This window comes from Homo sapiens, chromosome 9, assembly GCF_000001405.40.
Source record: "Homo sapiens chromosome 9, GRCh38.p14 Primary Assembly".
Taxonomy (NCBI): Eukaryota; Metazoa; Chordata; class Mammalia; order Primates; family Hominidae; genus Homo; species Homo sapiens.
In genome coordinates, this window is record NC_000009.12 from 87,855,144 (window position 1) to 87,875,123 (window position 19,980).

General features: G+C 49.9%; 2 long non-coding RNA genes and 2 pseudogenes across 3 annotated transcripts in view; 1 reads left to right on the top strand and 3 right to left on the bottom strand.

Moving 5' to 3' along the window:
• Window positions 437-1,443, bottom strand: NPAP1P5 (nuclear pore associated protein 1 pseudogene 5; annotated as a pseudogene).
• Window positions 2,900-3,913, bottom strand: NPAP1P9 (nuclear pore associated protein 1 pseudogene 9; annotated as a pseudogene). The gene has a single exon (NR_040117.1). The product of NR_040117.1 is annotated as a nuclear pore associated protein 1 pseudogene 9 (transcript).
• A 5,037-nt stretch (window positions 3,914-8,950) lies between these two features.
• On the top strand, window positions 8,951-11,148 carry LOC107987091 (uncharacterized). The gene is made up of 2 exons (XR_001746819.3): window positions 8,951-9,206; window positions 10,759-11,148. It is a non-coding gene; the product is annotated as an uncharacterized LOC107987091 (long non-coding RNA).
• A 1,381-nt stretch (window positions 11,149-12,529) lies between these two features.
• Window positions 12,530-19,980, bottom strand: part of LOC497256 (uncharacterized) — a 71,588-nt gene continuing 64,137 nt past the window's right edge. Inside the window, exon 4 of the long non-coding RNA NR_149022.1 lies at window positions 12,530-12,630. This is a non-coding gene — a long non-coding RNA (uncharacterized LOC497256). The remainder of the gene's footprint in view (window positions 12,631-19,980) is intronic.

The window sequence follows — 19,980 nt, forward strand, 5'->3', positions numbered from 1 at the left end:
CCAGTGCAAAGAATAGAAACCTGGCTGGGGGCTTGGGTCAGCCAGATGAACAGTCAAGCTAGGGAGGGCACAGCTGATGATGACACATGCTGGCTGCTGCTTCTGTCCAGAGGGAAATGTCTCAAATACATTGTGGTTCTGATTGGGCTCATCAGCCTCACACCCTCCAACACACACACACACATACTTTGAGGTTTTGGGCCTCTGGCTTCCGTAAGGAGAGAGCAGCTTAAATTTAACTTCGAGGGGCTGAGCCCCTTCCTCCAGGAGCAGTGTCCATTCATGGGGACCATATGTAGAGGGAGACTTGCTGCTTATTTGTTCCCCATCGTACCACCTGTGTGTACCAGTGGGTCTCAGGTGCTCTTTCTGAGTGGGGACCCTAATTGTGTTCAGTCACAGCAGTTGTGGTGCCGTCCCCCATCGCACCATCTGTTCTGGAGGAGGATGTTGCAGAGGCGCTGCTCCCTAAACTGGAGGTGCCTTGAGGAGCCCTGATGGGAAGGCTCGGAAAAACAGGGCACCGGGGACAAAGGTTTTTCATTGCTGCCCATCAGGGGGCCCCAAGTGTGGGCTGAGGGGCAGGGCTGGAGAATATGAATGTAGCCGGGCAGACGTAGGCTGATGTCTTTCCAGGGTGCCTCTACTGTGCACTGAATTTGGGAAATTAAGAGTGCTCACTCTGGAGCTTGGTGAAGATCTGAAAATCACAGCAGGAGTCGTGTCCATAGCAAAGAGCTGAGGGCCTAAAGGAGGCTGCAAGGTCAGGTGGTCAGATGCCCTTGCTGTGATGGTGGAAATGGCTGCTGTGGAATTCATCTGCTGATGGGTGATATCAGGGATCCCGGTGGAAGGGACTGGGAGAGGAGTCAGGGAGGAAAGAGGAGGAGAAGAATGCACACATATGGGTGTAGGAGGCTCCCATCTGAAGGGAGGCTGGAAGGAGAAAGATGCGGGGCTAGGAGGTGTGGGGCAGGGGTCAGACGCACTGAAACTGCAGCTGAATGAGGGCAGCCTCCTTTCTCATTAGGTGGAACCCCCAAAATGGGGGCAAGGTCAGTGGGAAGAGCCAGGGAAGAGTTAGGAATTATGGATATCAAATTTAACTCAATTCTTGGTGTGGGCAAAGGTGGAGGGACAGGCAGGGTGAGGGGCCCAGCAGCCACATGGGCCAAGTCAGAGGTAGGAGGAGGAGCTGGGATCTATGAAGTGTAAGTGGCCGGGGGCAGGGAGTCTCAGCAGGTGTGGAGACAGCAGGGGCAGGCTGGGTGGCACTGCAGTTTGCCATGTCTTACTTTTTTTTTTTTTTTTTGAGACGGAGTCTCGCTCTGTCGCCAAGCTGGAGTGCAGTGGCACGATCTTGGCTCATTGCAACCTCCACCTCCCAGGTTCAAGCCATTCTCCTGCCTCAGCCTCCCAAGTACCTGGGACTACAGGAGGGAGCCACCATGCCTGGCTAATTTTTGTATTTTCAGTAGAGACGGTGTTTCACCATGTTGGCCAGGATGGTCTCCATCTCTTTTTTTTTTAATTAAAAAGTAAACTTTAGCCATGTGTGGTGGCTCAAGCCTGTAATCCCAGCACTTTGGGAGGCCGAGGCGGGTCGATCACAAGATCAGGAGATTGAGACCAGCCTGACCAACATGGTGAAACTCTGTCTCTACTGAAAGTACAAAAAAAAAAAAATTATCCTGGCATGGTGGTGCGGGCCTGCAATCCCAGCTACTCAAGAGGCTGAGGCAGGAGGATCGCTTGAACCCCGAGGGCGGAGGTTGCAGTGAGCCCAGATCATGCCATTGCACTCCAGCCTGGGCGACAGAGCGAGACTCCGTCTAAAAATAAATGAATAAATAAATAAATAAATAAATAAATAAATAAAAGTAAACTTTAATGTCGAAAATGCAAACTTGGGGAGGGCAGAAAGATCACACACAAGGCTGTCACTTCACACTTGGACGGTTGCACAGCAGCCGGGCAGAGGCGCCCCTCACTTCTCAGATGGTGGGGCAGCTGGGCAGAGGCACTCCTGACCTCCCAGACGTGGCTGCTGCTGGGCAGAGGTGCTCCTCACTTCCCAGACAGAGGGGCGGTGGCAGGGCAGAGGCGCTCCTCACTTCCCAGATGGTGTGGGGGCAGGGCAGAGGCGCTCCTCACTTGGCAGAGGGTGGGATTGGGCAGAGGCTCTTCTCACTTCGCAGACCTTGCGGGGGCAGGGCAGAGGCGCTCCTCACTTCCCAGACGGTGGGATTGGGCAGAGGCGCTCCTCAATTCCCAGATGGCGGGATTGCCGGGCAGAGGTGTTCCTCACTTCCCAGATGATAGGCGGGCAGGGCAGAGGCATTCCTCGCTTCCCAGATGGTGGGGTGGCCAGGCAGAGGCGCTTCTCATTTACCAGACAGTTGGGTTCCGGGCAGAGGCGCTCCTCACTTCCCAGACAGTGGGCCTGCCCGACAGAGGTGCTCCTGACCTCCCAGATGCGGTGGCTGCTGAGCTGGGGCCTCCTTACTTCCCAGACGCTGCAGTGGCCAGGCAGAGGTGCTCTTCACTTCCCAGACTGTGAGGCGGCCAGGTAGAGGCGCTCCTCACTTCCCAGGCGGTGCCTAGCCAGGCAGAGGCACTCCTCACTTCTCAGGCGGTGGGATGGGGGGTGCGGGGGGAGTGCTGGGCAGAGGTGCTCCTCACCTCCCAGACGGGGCGGTGGCCAGGCAGAGGTGCTCCTCTCTTCCCACACAGTGGGGCGGCTGGGCAGAGGTGCTCCTCACTTCCCAGACTGTGAGGCGGCTGGGCAGAGGCGCTCCTCACTTCCCAGATGGTGCAGGGACCAGGCAGAGATGCTCCTCAGGTCTCAATCTCTTGACCTTCTGATCCACCTGCCTGGGCTTCTCAAAGTGCTGGATTACAGGCGTGAGCCACCACACCTGCCCTGCCATGTCTTCTTTCTCCCCTCAAGCAGCTGTTTTCATCTCTTGGACATCCCCATGTTCTTATCCATGTTGCCTTGCTGGAGGCGTCCTTCCCCTTGGGAAGCCTGACCCAGCTCCAACAGTGCCTCAGGAGATAGGCAGGGAAGCTTAGCGGGTGGGGGCGGCTCGTCTCTATCCCACCTCAGTTGCAGGGGAGGGGTTGGTTGCAGCTGCGGCAGTGGCCCCAACAGTTTTCTTTTGCGGGACCTGTGGGACCTGTAGCCGGTAGCTCTGGGTGGAGAAGACCTACTTGATCCAAGAGCTGCAGGATCCTTGGGCTGCATGTCCTTCCCCACCATCAGCAAACCTGGAGAGCTGGGCAGGTGGTCTTTACCCAGCACCTTCAAGGCCGCCTTCTCTGGCCACAGGGAGCAGCCTGGAACTGGGGCAGGGAGCACTGTTGGAACTGGGTCAGGCTTCCCAAAGAGAAGAATGCCTCCAGCAGGGCTGTGTGAACTGGCGACTCCATGGCCCTTGGAGTAGAAACTCACTGCATGTACCTGGGCCTTGTCAGTCTGGTTGTTTTCTGTCAAGCTCTTGAGCTGGACATTTCCCTCCAAGGGCCTGGGATTGTACCGGGGGGAAGTGGGGTTTCCCTGAGTCTCCAGGGGCCTAGAGGTGGAGGCTGCTTCCCCATTGCTACAGGGGCCCCTTTTATTGTCTTCCTGCTCCTGGGTCTCTACCTGGTCTTTGACCTCCGTTGCTTCTTTGGGCTCTTCTGCCCTCACCTCCATCTTCGGAAGCCTGGCTGGGATCACCTGCTCATCTAATGAAGGAAGTCTGAGGTTAAACTTGCCTCTGAGATGAGGGATCCTCACGGGGCTGAGGTGTCCAAACATCCTGGAGTTGCGAGCAGACAGCACGGGTTTCTTCCTTGAGGGGGGGCTCCAGAACACAGAAGGCAGGACCCTCAGTGGGGTGCCCGTGTTCTGAGGGAGAAAACACAGCCTCCTAGGGGCGCCATACCGCCTGGCTGGAAAAGAAGGCCCAAGATGTTGCCGAGGGTTGAAGAGGAATCGGTAACAGCCCAAGGTTCCCAGGGCAGGCACAGGTGCAGGAGCCATGGGGTGAGCCCAGCCAGCTGGGAAGGCCTCACGGACAAGACGAGCAGGTTGCTGATGGTATGGCGGGGACCTGTGGTGGAACCAGGAACAAAATACGCTTAGAAGAGCACGTTGCCAATCGCGTGGCCGGAACCTGCGGCGGAACCAGGAACAAAATACGCTTAGAAGAGTAAGTCGCCGATGGCATAGCCGGCACCTGCGGCGGAACCGGGGACGAAATACGCTTAGAAGAGAATGTCGCCGATGGTGTGGCCGGGACCTGCTGCGGAAGCAGGGACAACATATGCTTAGACGAGAACATTGCCGGTGGTGTTGCTGGGTCATGCGGTGGAAGCAGTAACAACATACGCTTAGAAGAGCAGGTTGCCGATGGCGTGGTTGAGACCTGCGGCGGAACCAGGAACAAAATATGCTTAGTGAGTTGCCCATTTCGAGCGAGTTGTGCACAGACGAAACCAAGGGTCAGAAGTGGAGAGGATACTCCTAAGTCACCCACTTCTCCGTGGCCAGGTGTCCACTGGGCACCTGGGAATTTATAACATCACCTTGGGGCTGGTGACAGAGCCAGGGTGTGGAGGAGTGAGCGGGAGCCCAGCGAGGGTGCCTACAAGAGGAGTCAAAGGGCAAAAGGCAAGGCCCCTCCACCGGTCCAGCTGGACTCTCTAGCCTCAGGGACGTCCCACTCCTGGGGGCAGGTGTGTGGCCCTGGATGGCCCCCCTGTGATGCTGTGGAGGGTGTGGGGCTGATCTGCCAGAGCCCTTCCCGCCTGGCATCTGGCCCAGGTGCTGGCTGACACCCAGTGGCCCTGTCTTGGCCAGCCCTCTCCCCTGGGTTACAGGGCCAGAACCTGGAAGCAGAGCGCAGGACCAGCCAGATCCCGCCAGGCTCCCCGGGGGCCTCTCCAGTGCCTCTATGCCACCTGGAGCCAGGCCCACTTTCTCCATGGCTGCCGTGGCCTTAAGGGCCACGAGGCTCGCTGTGCAGGCTTCCAAGGAGAGGACGCGGTACCCTGACCTGACTGGATGCTGCCCCTTACCACATCCCTTCCTGGCAGGCAGGGTCTCCACTTCTTCTTACAAATTTGCCTGAGACCGTTCCTTAGGTCATCCAGGTGGTCATGGTCCAGCCAGGCTTTGAACCCAGGTTGTGCGATTCCACAGCTGGTGCTCTGGCCTGTGTGCCTCCTGATCATGGATACAGCGTGTATTCTTATTTTTTCCTGTAGCCCGGGGGTACTTAGCATGGTGGCATATCTGTAATAAGCACATGCACACCTAGAAGGAGGTCTTCACTTCAACATATAAGTTGACCATGGCCCACTCTGGGCTCCAGTCCTCTGCAAAGATGTAGGGCAGGGACTACCAGTTGCCAGCACAGCATCATTCCACATTGCTCTTCTAATGGAGCCTTTCAGCCCAGATGTTCTTTCTCGTCTGGTGGGTTCTCTCTCGACTCGTCCAAATATGTAACGATTATGTTCTAGATCAGCTCTGGTCTATCCTAAAAGAAATTCGCCAGTGGATTATACCATATAGATAAAAGTCTGTTTCTCTGGTCTTCCTAGAATGGTCTAGAAAGCAAGTACATTATTTACAAGTTAATAGTGGATCAATGTACTGGATTAAAATATGACCAACGTAATTTGGTTGTTGTGAGCATGCCAGCTCGGTCCACTCTTCACCACACTTTATGATACCCTAAATATAACTCTAGATTTGCTTATGCCCAAGAGGAGGACATACTCTTGGGTGTCTGGACTAGGGAAACAGGTATGAAAAACCATTCGGCCACTCTACATCTTTTTATTGGAGAATTGAAACCATCTATATTCAAATATATTATTAAAAGGCAAGAAGTTACTTCTGTCATTTTGTTAATTGTTTTCTGGTTGTTTTGTAGATCTTTTGTTTCTTCTCTTATTGTTTCCTTTATGGTTTGGTGAGTTTCTGTACTGATAAGCTTTGATTCCTTTATTTCATTGACACATCTGGTGTAATTTTTTTCTCTTGGGTTACACTGTAGCTCACATTAAAAAATTTGTAGTTATGATAGACTATTTAAAGCTGATAAAAAGTTTTGATCACACACAAACATGCTGTACTCCCCCCACATCCCCTGTCAATGCACAAAATTTGCACTTTTTTGTCTCAATTTATATTGTTCTGTATTGGGTATTTATTAAGAACTATCATTTCAGTAACGTAGAATTCTCCATTTGAATGTGAATTTACTTTTAACTGGTTGATAGTGTCCTGTGTTTTTGCACTAGTAGTTATTGTTCTTTCACTTGTGATTGAAGCATTCCCTTAAGCATTTCTTGTCAAGCTGGTCTTATGGTGACAAATTCCATAAGCATTTGCTTGTCTGGGAAAGCCTTTATTTCTTTAATTTGTGATAGGCAGCTGTGCTAAGTACAGTACTCTTTGCTAACTGATTTCTCATTATCACTTAGAATATATCATCCTAATCTCTCCTAGCCTTCAAGGTTTCTGCTATGAAAACTCCTGATAGTCTAAAGGAGAATTACTTACTTGTGATTTGATGCTTCTCTCTTGCTAATTTTAGAATGTTTTTCTTTGTGTTTGACTTTTGACAAATTGATTATAATGTGCCTTAGAAAAGGCCTTTTTGGGTTGAATATGTATGGGACCCTTTAAGCTTCATGGATGTCCATATCTCTCCCAAGAATTGGGAGATTTTCAGCTATTATTTTGTTAAATAAGTTTTCTGTGTCTATCTGTCTCTTCTCTCTGTTTCTCTTCTATATTGCAAAAATTTGTTATCTTAATGCCATGGCACAAGTCTCATAGGCTTTCTTTGCTTCCTTTTATTCTTTTCTTTCTCCTTTTTTCCCTCAGGCTGGGTTATTTCAAAAGTCCTGTCTGCAAGTTCAGAAATTCTTTCTTTTGTTTGATCTAGTGTGCCACTGAAGCACTCAGTTGTACTTTTTATTTCATTCAGTACTTCATTCCTAAGGTTTCTGTTGGTTTGTTTTTTTAAATGATATCTGTATCTTTGTTGAATTTCTCATTCAGGTTATAGCTTGTTTTTTATTATTATTTGATTAAGATTTCAATGTGTATTCTCTTGTATCTCATTGAATTTTCTTAAGATCAATATTTCAAATTCCTTTTAAGGCAATTTGAAAATTTCCATTTATTTAGGGTAACTTTGTGAAGAATCATTGTGCACCTTTGGTGGTGTCAAGTTTCATTGCATTTTCATGTTCTTATCTCCTATGTTTATATTTATGAGACTGTTGACATGGTTACCTGTTCTAATTGTATAGAGTAGTTTATGTAGAGAAAGACTTTCACCTGGAGATGTATCTTAGGGTGTCAGTTGGATGGGCTGCATCTGCTTTAGTTCCAGGAGGACACAGTAGTGTAGTATCTGTGCTTTTCTCTTGCCATTTTTTTTTCTTTTGCTAGTATCCATTTTGGTGATACCTGTGAGTGCCTTGGTGACCTAGGCTGCAGGAGCATGTGCAGTTTGTTTTCCTGCTCTGGATCGGGGGTTGTGGGGGAAGGCAGCGGTCTCAGGAAGCTGCATGCCTAGCTAGTGAGTGTGTTACTGAGTCACAGGGGTTGGTTCACCAGTTTGAGATGGGACTCCCCTGGAAACACTCGCCTGGCTGTGGATTACTGGGGCTGCTCTGCAGGCTTGAGATGCGGATCTCTTGGAAGCAACAGGCCCAGGTGGTGAGCACACCGATGGCACAAGAAATCAGTCCACAGTTAAGAGTGTTGCAGTCACTAGGATGTGGAAGGCAAACCTCTTTGAGAGTTTGTTTCTAGGACATAGAGAGCAATAGCTGCTTTCCTGGAGAATCCTATTGTAATGACAGGGTAGCCTCTGGAATGGAAGGAGGCAGTGACCACTAGTTCGTGGAGCAGAATATACTCAGCTATGGCTTGGACGTCTAGGTGGTGCTGTATGTGGGCTCCTCCTCTGGGGCAGTATAGCCCTGTGGACACCAAGCAGCTCCCTAAACTGAGCTGAGAATCTGTGGGCACTTAAAGGAGTTCCCAGCAACAAAGAATGCAGGTGTCCACAATGTTAATGGGCCTGCTGGAGTTTGTTTGCTTACCTTTTTCCCACTGAGGAAATGGTCTTCTTGTTCCCAGCTGATCCCAACTAGGAAGACTGTGTGGCAGAAGCAGGCTATTTTGCTTTCCTCTTTATTTGGCCACCCCTAACGGTTTCCTTGACCCTCAGGTTTTCTGTCTCTTCCCTGCTGTCCAGGGTTCTCTCTCAAACACTCCAGTCCAAATGAACTTGTTTAGTCACTGTTTTTGTCCTTTTTTCTGGAGGACACAGGCATTAACCTCCTCTCATGTGCCATCTTGCTAGGCCTTCCATGACCTTCTTTTTCAAAAGTGGGATGGAATGAAATGGAAGGGAATGAAATAGTGTAGAATAGAATTGAATATGTGAGAGTGCATCAAGCATTATTTCATAAAACTTTTGTTTTCACTTATAAATATGGGGGTACTCAGAGTCACAATATAAATTTTCTATTTTTACTTGGAGTCAAAAAGTTTGAATTTGTAGGCATATATAATACGTTAGTAGCAGCTGACGTATATACCTGTTGAATATACCTGTTGAAATACCAATGTGAGGGAGTTATCTGTTGCCTTTTTGATATAAAAATGGGGCTATTAATATATTTAGATCAGTGGTGTAACTTTTAGATTCATATGTCTATTCTTAGTCTCTCCACTTTCCACAGTGTCTCTTGTCCTCACGTGTGGGATCAGAGCTTTAGGCCTCACCTTTCCTGCATCAGGAGAAGCTACATCTTTCCATGCTGTGCTCATGCTGGTTTTTGCAAACCTGAAGCTCCAGTTCTTGTGATTCGATCATGTGCTAATTTACTCAAACCTTTGTACCCAGTTTGGTAAAGCAAAGTCCACCAAACAGCAGGGATGAAGGGGCCTTTGCAAGATCACTAGAACTTTCCTTGCCTCCAGGGCCGGGAAGAGCCTGGGCCTTCCATGGAAAGACCTGGAGAGATTGGCTCACTGCTGAGGAGGCTGCTGCTCTTCCCTTAGGTCAGGGAACAATTTTCGTGTTTCAAATAAGCTCTTTGTTCCAGATGTTGGGGCTTCTGGGTCTAGGGATTTGTAGCTGCTTTGAAATCATTTGCAAGACATATGGAGCCAGATTGCTTCAGTAAGTACACCCTGGACAGGACCTGGACCCAGACTTTGCCAGCACCACCCAGCGAGCCTGTTTGTGTTGCCTGTGGCGTTTGGCTTGAGTTTCAGGGGACTACTTTCTGTTGGGACCCAATATAAGGTGGCTGCATGGACATGTTTTGATCCTAGTGCTGTAGGACAAGGAAGGAAGAGTAGAGAAACAAGGAGAAGGCAGGAGATGAAGGGTTGTTATGAGCAAAGGTGGACCACCTTGATTTCATGAAATTCATACTATTTCAATGATTTGCTTAAAATAAAATTTTGTTGTACAAATTGCAAAAGCAAAGGTGACTTATTATAGAATATTTACAAACTTCAGAAAACTGAAAAATCAGACACTAATAAAATTTACTGCAATATATAAAATAGTAGATGATCCTATGGAATGAGACTGTGTTCTCGGATGGCAGAATATGACTAAAGATTTCATGTTTCTCAAGTTATACAAATTTAGTATAATTACTGTAAGCAACTGAATGAGATGAAGCAGAATAAAATTTTTATTTCAAAATTTTGATGGAAGACGAAATCAAACATTATCAAGGTTAATCAATACAATCAAATAAGAGGTACAGGTTAGAGGGTATCAAAGTAAATCACAATATTTATCACAATTTGATAGTAAATAAAGATATTGCTGATTTTAAGTGGGGGAAAGTTTATTTAGTAAATGAGCCTGGTAGAACTGGTTATTTTTCTGGAAATAAATAGTATTGGCCTCCTATTTCCTTTTGTCGGCCGACAAAAGGATTTATGCAAATTTGTATTTCTGCTAGCTTTAGATGAGAGCCTTGATAACAGTAGATACTCTTGTTAAGTTCTATCTGGAATGTGTGTCATTTCACTGAATTTAGAGATGCCTTTATACCTTTGGATGACAGGGTGGGTTACTGTCAGGTGTCTCCTAGAGCTTCTCACCCCAGCCTTCCTTTTACTCGCCCAAGTGTTTGAGCCACAGTGCAGCAGTATAAAAATGGATTTTGCTCTTTTGGTGGCTGGCTATGGCTATGAAGGAGCAGAATTGAATAAAGATAAATACTGGCTGGTGAAGACCAGGTATAAACTGCCAAAAATACTTCTATTTGAAATTCAAAAGGGAATTTTTGTTTAGAATCAGTATTTTGCACACAGGTCTTAGACTCTTTATCCTATTTAGGTTAAACACAGAATATTAACGTTTGATTATACAGTTAGGATATTGTCACAAGTGGTATCAGTGTAATATTTTTACCTTTGCATTGCTACATTCTGAAATTTTTCTAAATCTTGAAACATATCTGGCTGAAAAACATCCAATTATTTTTCTTCCTCTGATTTTGCAGTTCTGCAAAAGGTCACAGATAGGATAGAAGTTATGTGTAGGTTATGACTCAAGAATGTATAAATGATTAACAAAAACATTGGCCTCTCCTGATTCTTTCTGTTAAGCCTGTGGCCTCTCGCACACTGTTTAAGTTGGGTCTTCCTGTTAACAGCCCAGTGGATTTTATTCTTTCACTGCAACAGAAAACCTGCTTTTCTTTCAGCTGGAGTGAAGACTGGGACATGCGTGGCTACATAAAGATGGCCAAAGACCAGAATAACAACTGCAGAATCGCCATGCTGGCCAGCCTTCCTATTGTGTGAGCTGATGGATGGTGAAGAGGAAGGACTTGACTGGGGATGGCACATACATGGGAGGAATTCATCTGAAATCTACCAGCCCCTGCCATGTGGGATGCACACTGGAATCACTGAAGATTCAAGTGTGATTTGAATTCTGTGACGCTTTCGTAATGGTAAATGTTACCACTATTTTGATTACTGCTATAACCAGCTTTGCATTATTGATTCACTGAATGACTTTAGATTTCTTTTTTGCTTTAAAAGGATGGAAAAAATTTTACCTGTTTAAATAAAACTTAATTTCACTTGGAGTGGAGGGGCTTCTTTCTGTTTTTGATGTTTTGACGTTTGGTAGTGTAGTCAAGCATGTAATTGAGCTCTAAAGATGGAACTGCTGTGCCACAGGTTCACTAGGAGGAAGAGTGGGTGGCCTTCTTGCTCTTCTACTTACAGATATGCAGATCTCATGTCAGTTGCCCAGCGGCTATGTCTGACCCAATCTTTGATTGGAGAAAAAACTGACAAATGACCTATGAGGACAAAGGAAACCCATGGTCTTTGCAGTGGAGGCAGGACAGGGCACTAGGGCATTGCCAAGGCTGTTTGTCTTTGGGTCCTCAAGGGACAAGGGATAAACTCCAGGGTTTGAGGCTGAGCTTCAAAGGTGGTGTGCTGGCTTTGGAAGGTGGAGGACCAGATGAGAGAACCAGAAATGAGGATCTATGGCTGCATTTAAACCAAGCTGCCCTATCCCTGAATAATTTCTTAATAAATAGGAAAAACTTCCCACATTGTACTGGCTTAAAAAGCACATAGTTTCATCATCTGTGTGTTTTCCACAATCTCATGTTCCCCCTCAAGAAATATAAACAATAAGTGGAAGTGTTTAGTGAATAGACTCTATATCCCAGAGGAGGGTAACCAGGTACACAGTGGGGTCTCAGCTCACAAAGCCTCCAGCAGGCTCCGCCCAGGTCCATTTGGATTGGACCACATGCCATGCTGGACTCTCCTGGGTCCCTCCTGAGTAGTTGCCAAAATTTCACACTTTTTGACCTAAAATGACAAGTGTGGCATCCGAAGTGAAATTCTTCGGATTTCGTAATGAAAATAGCCAGTGTGGTAGCAGGGAGATTTGGGAGACTCCAAAGCTAAATCTATTGTACTGATTGGGACCTAGGTTTGATATAACTTGAATTTATACAGCATCTGCTATGTGCAGGTCATCACCACAGTGGAAGAGACAGGCCCTGACCTCAAGGAGCTGCAGCTGTTAGAGAGAGGAGGTCATCAGGGAGGGCCTCCAGGAGGAAGGGAATGCAGGCATCAGTCAGAGCAGCAGTCAGTATGAGAAGGTGAAGTGAGCATCTTAGCAGAGACTAGCATGTCAGCAACCCTGAGTCAAGACCCTGTGGTTAGAGACCCCGAGGAAGCAACTGCATCCAGGGTTTGGGTGATGAAGCTTGCCCAGTGGAGTGTTTGGACACAGGGGAACCACTGAGGGGGCGGATGCAGTGAACAGACTGTTCCAGTTCTTTTTGTCAAACCACCCGAAACCCAGCGGCTTTGAAGAAACATCTTGCACATCTGCCTGGACTCGGCTGCGTGGTTTTTACATAGAGGTCTCTATCTGTGCTGGAGACATCAGTAGGCTTGACTGGACTGGACATCAGTGAGGACTCACTCACATGGCTGGCCACAGATGCTGGTGTCAGGTGGACATTCATCTTGAGCTGTTGACCAGAGCACCTGCCTGGGGCCCCTCTGTGGCTTGGGCTTCCCATGCATCGACACTGAGAAATACATGTATATATGTATTTGAGGCTGATAAACTTAAAACACTGAATTTCGGCCAGGCGTGGTGGCTCATGCCTGTCGTCCCGGCACTTTTGGAGGCCGAGGCGGGCAGATCACCTGAGGCGCCAAGCTTTGGTCCGTAGAGCAATTATCCCAGGCACAATAACCTTTCCAGAACCTAGGACCCAGTGCTTCCAAAGTCATCACAGACTTGGGGGATCTGAGAGAAGGAAGGTTGATGGGGAAACTCTTCTGGGCTTTGCTTTCAGGCACTGCCAGCCAGTCAACGCCTGTGGCTCACCTCCATGACCTAAGATCACAGTCAGGGGAAGAGCTCCCTGAGCAAGACATCCATTCTGAGAGTGTGCCCTCTACAACTCCAGGGCACATGCCAACCTCTAGAGCCCCTAAGTGCCGTGTCCTCTCAGAGCTTTCTGGATCGAGCAGGGTCTCTGTGTAGAACATGGTCCCCACACGCTTGTGAGCAGCCGTTTCCTGCCCATCTCCCTCGCTGTTCCCATTGCCCCTTGTTGTGGAATTTCTCAGACCTAAGACTCGCCTTCCAGGGAAGCCTTCTCCTGCCTCTATATTAAGCCAACTGGAGACCATGCCCAGGGCTTGGCTGTGGAGCCTGTGGGAACCCCCCGAATCCAGGGCAAGGGTCCGCATGCCCCCTGGGCCCTGCGTGTAAAATGGAGCCTGGAGGAGCTGACCTGGCCCTGCCCATCAGGACTGCCCCAATTACACACCTGGATTCTTGGAAGGCCCCTATGCCCCCTGGGTGGAAGGATACTGAAAACGCTCTTTGTCTACAATTGGATCCTTGCCCCACCTGCCCACCAAGGCCTCTGAAGCCCACCAGCACATGGCTAGGACCCTCCTCTGACCCCACTGGGCACCTGAGGGATGGCACTGCTTGTGAGGGCTCTCCCTCCCCAAGGCCAGGCCCAAGGCCCTCTGCCAGGACCCTGCCTCTCTAGAAGTGAAACCTTGCGTGGTACAGGCAGCTGTCCACTTATGGACCAGGCCAGCTCCGTGGCTGTGACCTGATAAGATAAAAAGTCCACATGCCCAGTTCTGGCCCGCCAGGCTCACAAAGCCCCTGCCTCCTGCCTTGCCAGTGCCAGAAGCCACAGTAGTCAGTGCTGTGTTATTTTTCTAGATATCATTCCTTAGGAACCAAGGCCCAAGGCACCAGATGATTTTGGTGTATCTTGACTCACATCTGCAAATTTGCAGGCCTCCTTTCCCTTCAAAACTTAGCCCATGTTGGGGCAGGTCAAGAAGACAGTGCCTTACAGACCAGTGCATCTGTAGGAGAAGAGAGAAGATGGCTGAGGGACAGGGAGTGCCTTCCTCACTCAGAGGCTGGATGGAGCAGATGAGCCTCCACGGGGCGAGCCTCTGCAGCAAGACACACAGGCAGAGCTGCTGGAGAGGAGCGGTGCCAGGCAGGGCCCTAACCTCAGCTCACCTCGGGAGGAGGGGAAGAGGGAGAGGGCCAGGTGCCCTCCTTCCCAGCTCAGTCTCCCAGCGCCTGCATGCCCCCCAGGGAGAGCCATGGAGGGCTGAGGCCCGGCTGCCCCACATCAAAGAGGGCTGGGACCCTGATGCAGCGCTTCCGGATCACAGGACGGTGGGTCAGGAGGACGCAAACCCTACCATCACCACATAGCCAGAGCCATGTCCATCCAGGGACACGCTACCACTTATGACATGAGTCCCTGAGCCTCAAATCTAACCTCCCTTCTCTCTCACACACACACACACACATACACATACACACAACCTGCACACACACATCACACTGCACACACACACCAAACACACACCACACCACATATACACCACACATCACACACACAACACACATCCCACATACACATCCTACCCCACACACACACCACACACACAGCACACCACACATACCACAAGCACACAACACACACACCACACACACACCACAAACACACACCACATACACCACACATATCACATACCACACACACCACCCACCACACACACACCACACACACACCACACACACACCACAAACACACACCACATACATACACCACACATATCACATACCACACACACCACCCACCACATACACACCACACACACACCTTACCACACACAGAGCACACACACCACACACAACACCCACCACACTCTACCACACATACTCTACATACCCCATACACACCACACCCATACCACACACACACACACGACACTCATGCAACACACATTCACCTCACACATCACACACACACCACATATACACATTCATACCACACACACACCACCCACACCACACACCACACATCACATACCACATACACCACACTCCACACACACACAACTTTTTGGGAGAGGTTAAAGAGAGCCCAGCCTTTCCCATGGAGGCAGCACATTCTCTTTTTTTGAGGCGTCTGGCCGTGTCACCCAGGCTGGAGGGCAATGGCACGATCTCCGCTCACTGCAACCTCTACTTCCTGGGCTTAAGTGATTCTCCTGCCTCAGCCTCCCAAGTAGCTGGGATTACAGGTGTGTACCACACCCGGCTAATTTTTGTATTTTTAGTAGAGACGGAGTTTTGCCATGTTGCCCATTCTGGTCTCCAACTCTTGGGCTCAAGTGATCCACCCACCTCGGCCTCCCAAAGTGCTGGGATTACAGGCGTGAGTCACCGTGCCTGGCCTAGGAAGCACATTCCTGCTCCTGGACAACCACTGGTTCTGCAAGCCTCTTCCCAGCTCTGAGATGCACAAAGCTAAGCTGGGGGACAGAGCCTCTCCCTGGCTGCCGCTCCAGTGGGAGAAGCGGACCCTGAGCCTGCAGCCCTTGCAGGCACCTGGAGCTGGGGAGAGAACCCCAGGGCTAGGGCGGCGGCTGAGGGAGAACTGGGAGGCCCAGGGGTCCACTGTTCTAGACGGGGCGGGCAGGGTGAGGCCGCCAGGTCTGTGCAGAGGCTGGGGATGTGTCCTTGTCTCAGTATTGAGGAGGGTGTGGGGAGGGTCCGCGTGACCCCAGAGCAGGGTATGGTCAGGCCCTTCCCTGTCACCCATGCCCCTAACCATAGTCCAGGTTCCCAGGGAGAGCAGAGCAGCCGCAGGCCCACGGCTGAGTGGGGCTGGGATGGAATCTGAGATCCCGACCTTTGCTTGGTTCCTCGGGGCATGCAGGATGCTATCTTCCTCCAGGGGCCTGACATCAGGCTGTTCTCTCCCAAGAAACCCTCACCAAAGATGTCCCCCAAATATCGTGATTGTCTTTGGTAACCAATCAGCATCGGTCATCCATTCACTTGTTTAACACTTTGCTGAAGGTGGCTGGATTTCCAGCCAGTTCTGCCTTCTGGGGCCTCGGAGTCCCTTCAGTTTGCTTGTTATGGGTGTTAAATCAGGTTTAGCCTGAAGCTGCCTCCTTACATATTTAAGTTCGGCCTAAGGGTTTCTCTGTACATTGTGAACTACAACAAGCGGAGGTGTAAACAGATCATAGCCTACACTTGCGCCAATCACCAAGTTTTGGTCAAGCAAATGCAGCCAACTATTCGAACCATGTTCAAATAAGGCAAATCATTCATTGCTCAATTAAACTCCTATAAATTTAACTTGGCTGAAGTTTTTCTTTTGTTATGAGAAACGGAAGCTCCCCTTAGCCCTCACTGGGGGATGTAGGAGCTTGGGAGAGTGGCTCCTACCTCAGCCAATCTGGCTACATATCTTTACAACCACAACCTGCCACCCAATTCCATTTGAAACCTCAACATATCACAGAAGGAGGGTCTACAGGAAATTTCCTGACGACCGTTGTTACAAAATGACAGGCTGATGCAGAGATTTCCAATCTTAAATCTCAGATGGTGTCTCAGAAAGCTTTGCCATGTATCAAATTTCTCAAAACAGGTCAACTGCTTTATCTTAAATGGAGGCTTTATTGGATAATGGTGCCAGCCCTGCAGGGCACAACATAGAACACTTAGGTTTGGCAGTCAGATTGGCGAAGGCTGCTTTGCTTTGCCTCTTTCCTTTCCACAGGTCACACTGGGCCTACCAGAGGGACCCTTCCGACCCCCCTCACTGGCTCTGCCACCTGCCATCCCTCAAGTCCATCCCAGGCCCCAGCCTCATCCCACTTCAACATAGGGCACCAACTTCCCCACCACTGGCTTCCTCAAATAATCATTGGAAGTTGGCAGAGCCGCTCAAATGCAAAGCCATGCTGTTGGATCAGTTTTCTGAGCACTTTTCTCCCCCACAAAAGAAGTAGGCAGAGCTGTTCTCGCTTATTTTTTGATGCCGAGATAATGAAATGCAGGGGCCTGCATCCCCCAAGAAGGTAGAGAAGGATGTACCAGCTAGGCTTGCTGGGACTGCCTTGTATGGTCTCATGTGAGCCTGGACAAATCCGTCAGGGAGGCTGAGCCGGGAGTGCTTACTGGCTGCCTTCCATCCTGGCATCTGATACTTAGGCCTGGGGGCGGGGGTGGCCATGGGAACAGAAACAGAGCCCGCCTGGCTCAGCAGCTCAGATCCCACAGGGCCTTCGTTCCCAGATGGAGGCTCCTGCCTGTCTGCCCCCATGGGGCCAGCCAGGCTCTACCCCTCCAGGCGCTGCCTTGACCAGCCTGGCACACAGGCAGCCCCTGGCTGGGCACTGGCCTGAGGCTTGGCTCACCACAGGAGGTGAAGAGAAGAGTCCTGTGCCTTCTGCATGTGGGTCCTGTCCTCACCAGAACAACCTCAGGCCTGCAATGATGTCTGTCGGAGCAAAGTGGAGCCTCCTTCCTCCCAGGCTCCAGTGGTCAGTGGCTGAGCTGGGCCATCATGGGAGGGATGGTGAGGCTCACCTGCCAAGATGCAGCTGGCCACGTCATCCCATCCACCCACAAACATCTCTAGAGTCCCTGGTGATGGCTGTGCTGGGCACAGCCCCAGCTCACATAGACCACTCTCCTGACACAGCTTCCTCCTGATGCTGCCTCCTGAGCAGGGCTCAGCCCATGCACCAGCACAGCCCCACCTTCCTCCCAGCCCCAGGGTCCAGGCTGCTGGGGGTGCCGAAAGGGTGGTGCTGCAAATGGAGATGAGAAGGGATGGGCACGAGGGCCACACTCTCAGAAGCATCTTAGGGGCCTCTCCATTCCCCTCAAACGCAGAGCCTCAGATCGGGTCCATGTCTGCTGCAGTTACCTCAGGCGATGACAGCTATGGGGTGTGTGTGTCTCTGTGTGTATGTCTCTCTGAGTGTGTGTCTGTGTGTATGTGTGTGTCTTTGTAAGACCGGAGAAGAAGCAGAGAAGGGAGAAAGACAGAGAGGAGGGAGACAGAGATCTGGAAAGAGGGAGAACCAGAGGAAGGGATCAGAAGGGGAAGGAGGAGGAGAGAGGGAAGAAAGGAGAGGGATGGGGAGAGGAGGAGGGGGTGGACACAGTTAGGGAGAGAGGCAGAAAGAAGAGAAACAGAGAGGGAGTGGGAGAAACAGAGGTGAGAGAGAGAAAGGGATCAGAAGGAGAAGGAGACGGAACCTCCCTGTAGCTTTCTCCACCGTCTCTCAGAAATGTTCCTGGGGCTGCCTCTGCTGAAGAGGGTGCTGTGAGCTGGTGGAAGGAGTGAGGGTGATGGGTGGCAGGGGCGAGGTGGGGGGAGGTGAGACAGAAGGAGCTGAGAATCAGAATGTTCTAGAATAGCAGCTTCAGCAGTGTGCCTAGAATAGGGCCCAGAGCATGGCAGGCACTCTGTGAAGATCTGTTGGTCATCAATGAATGAATGAGTGAAGGATGGATGAATGAATTTGGTAGGGAGCAGAATGCTTCCATCTACATAGACCTTGGTGAAAATTCACTCCTGGCAGCTGGGCATGGACATGGTGCTGCCTGCTTCCAACGCCTGTGGGCATCGGTGGGCAAGACTGATCGGTGGGCAAGAGTGGTTGCCGAAACCTGTCCCCATGTCCCGTGCCACCCTGAGTCCAGGCATGTATGGGCTCCTATGGGGGAATGTGGCAGACTAGCAAAGGTTTCCCCAGGTGCCCCAAAATAAGGGCTCCACCCACACTCCACCAACCCAACCCCAGGGAAAACTCCACCCAGATCAGCTCAACAGCAAAGGAGGCCAAGCCCTGACCCTGAGCCCAGCCTTTTCAAGCCTCTGTAGGAGCCACTTCCTTTTAGGGCAACTATAAGCCTGTCCCCAGTAAATTCTAAAGCACTCTTATGTTTACTGGTTTATTACTGAGGTGGGATATTAAAGAAAGAAAAGAGAAATAAAAATTAAAAGGGCAAAAACAAGCTGCCTGTGTTAGGCTGGCTCATCTCAAAGGCAATAACAGGCAAAGTTTTGATTACATTATCTAAGGGCCAGAGCTCAAAGGAATGTGCTCTGAAGACTCTCCCAGCACTCCCTCAACATAAGGATATGAGGAGATCACATTCTCCTATCTCTCCTTTGAGTGTAAGTAAACCTCCCCTTAAATCCCATCCCCTCTGCTATGTAACTATACCTTGCTCCTTGCTCTGTAAGTTTTATGAGTTCCTGTTTTTCCTATATTTAATGATCGTAGGTTCCTGCTTTTTCATCTAAGCAGTATAGCAAAGGTCGCCAGACATGCCTGAGCAGGTCTAGCTTGCAGCCAGCTGGATGCCATGGTGGGGGTCGCAAGATAAGTCTTTGAGAAACTCCTTTGAACCAGTCTGGATAACGACCATCTGGACTGCATAGCAAGGAGTATACGTAGACCTCAGTTATGAACCTGTCTTAGTTTGATTAACTGCCTTTGCCTTGCTTCTGTACATTCGTGTTCGTGCCACTTATGAGTAGGTATATAAGCAAAACCCTGTCATTGTTCAGGGCCCAGTCTTTGGACGTTGAGTCTGCTGGGTCTGAGTGCACTCAATAAAGATTCTCCTGCTTTACCCGGAGGTCTCTCTTGCCCTCCTGATTTTCTGCAACATTATAAATAATATTACAAAGGATACAGAGAAGAGACATGTAGGGTGAAGTATGGGAAGGGGCGTGGAACTTCCATGCCCTCACTGGGTGCACCATCCTTTAGGAACCTCCCAGGGTTTAGCTGTTTGGAAGCTCTCCCAACCCTGACCTTTTGGGCTTTTACAGAGGCTTCATGATGTGGGCATGAATGACTAAACCACTGGACATTGATGATCACCTCACCTTCAGCTCCTCTCCCCTCACAGGAGGTTGAGGCTGAAAGTCTTAACCCTCTAATCCAGCCCTGGTCTTTCCAGGACCTGTCTCATCCTGAAGTTACCTAGGGGCCTTCAGCCACCAGTCAACTCATTAACATACAAAAAGACATCACTGTGGAGATGCTAA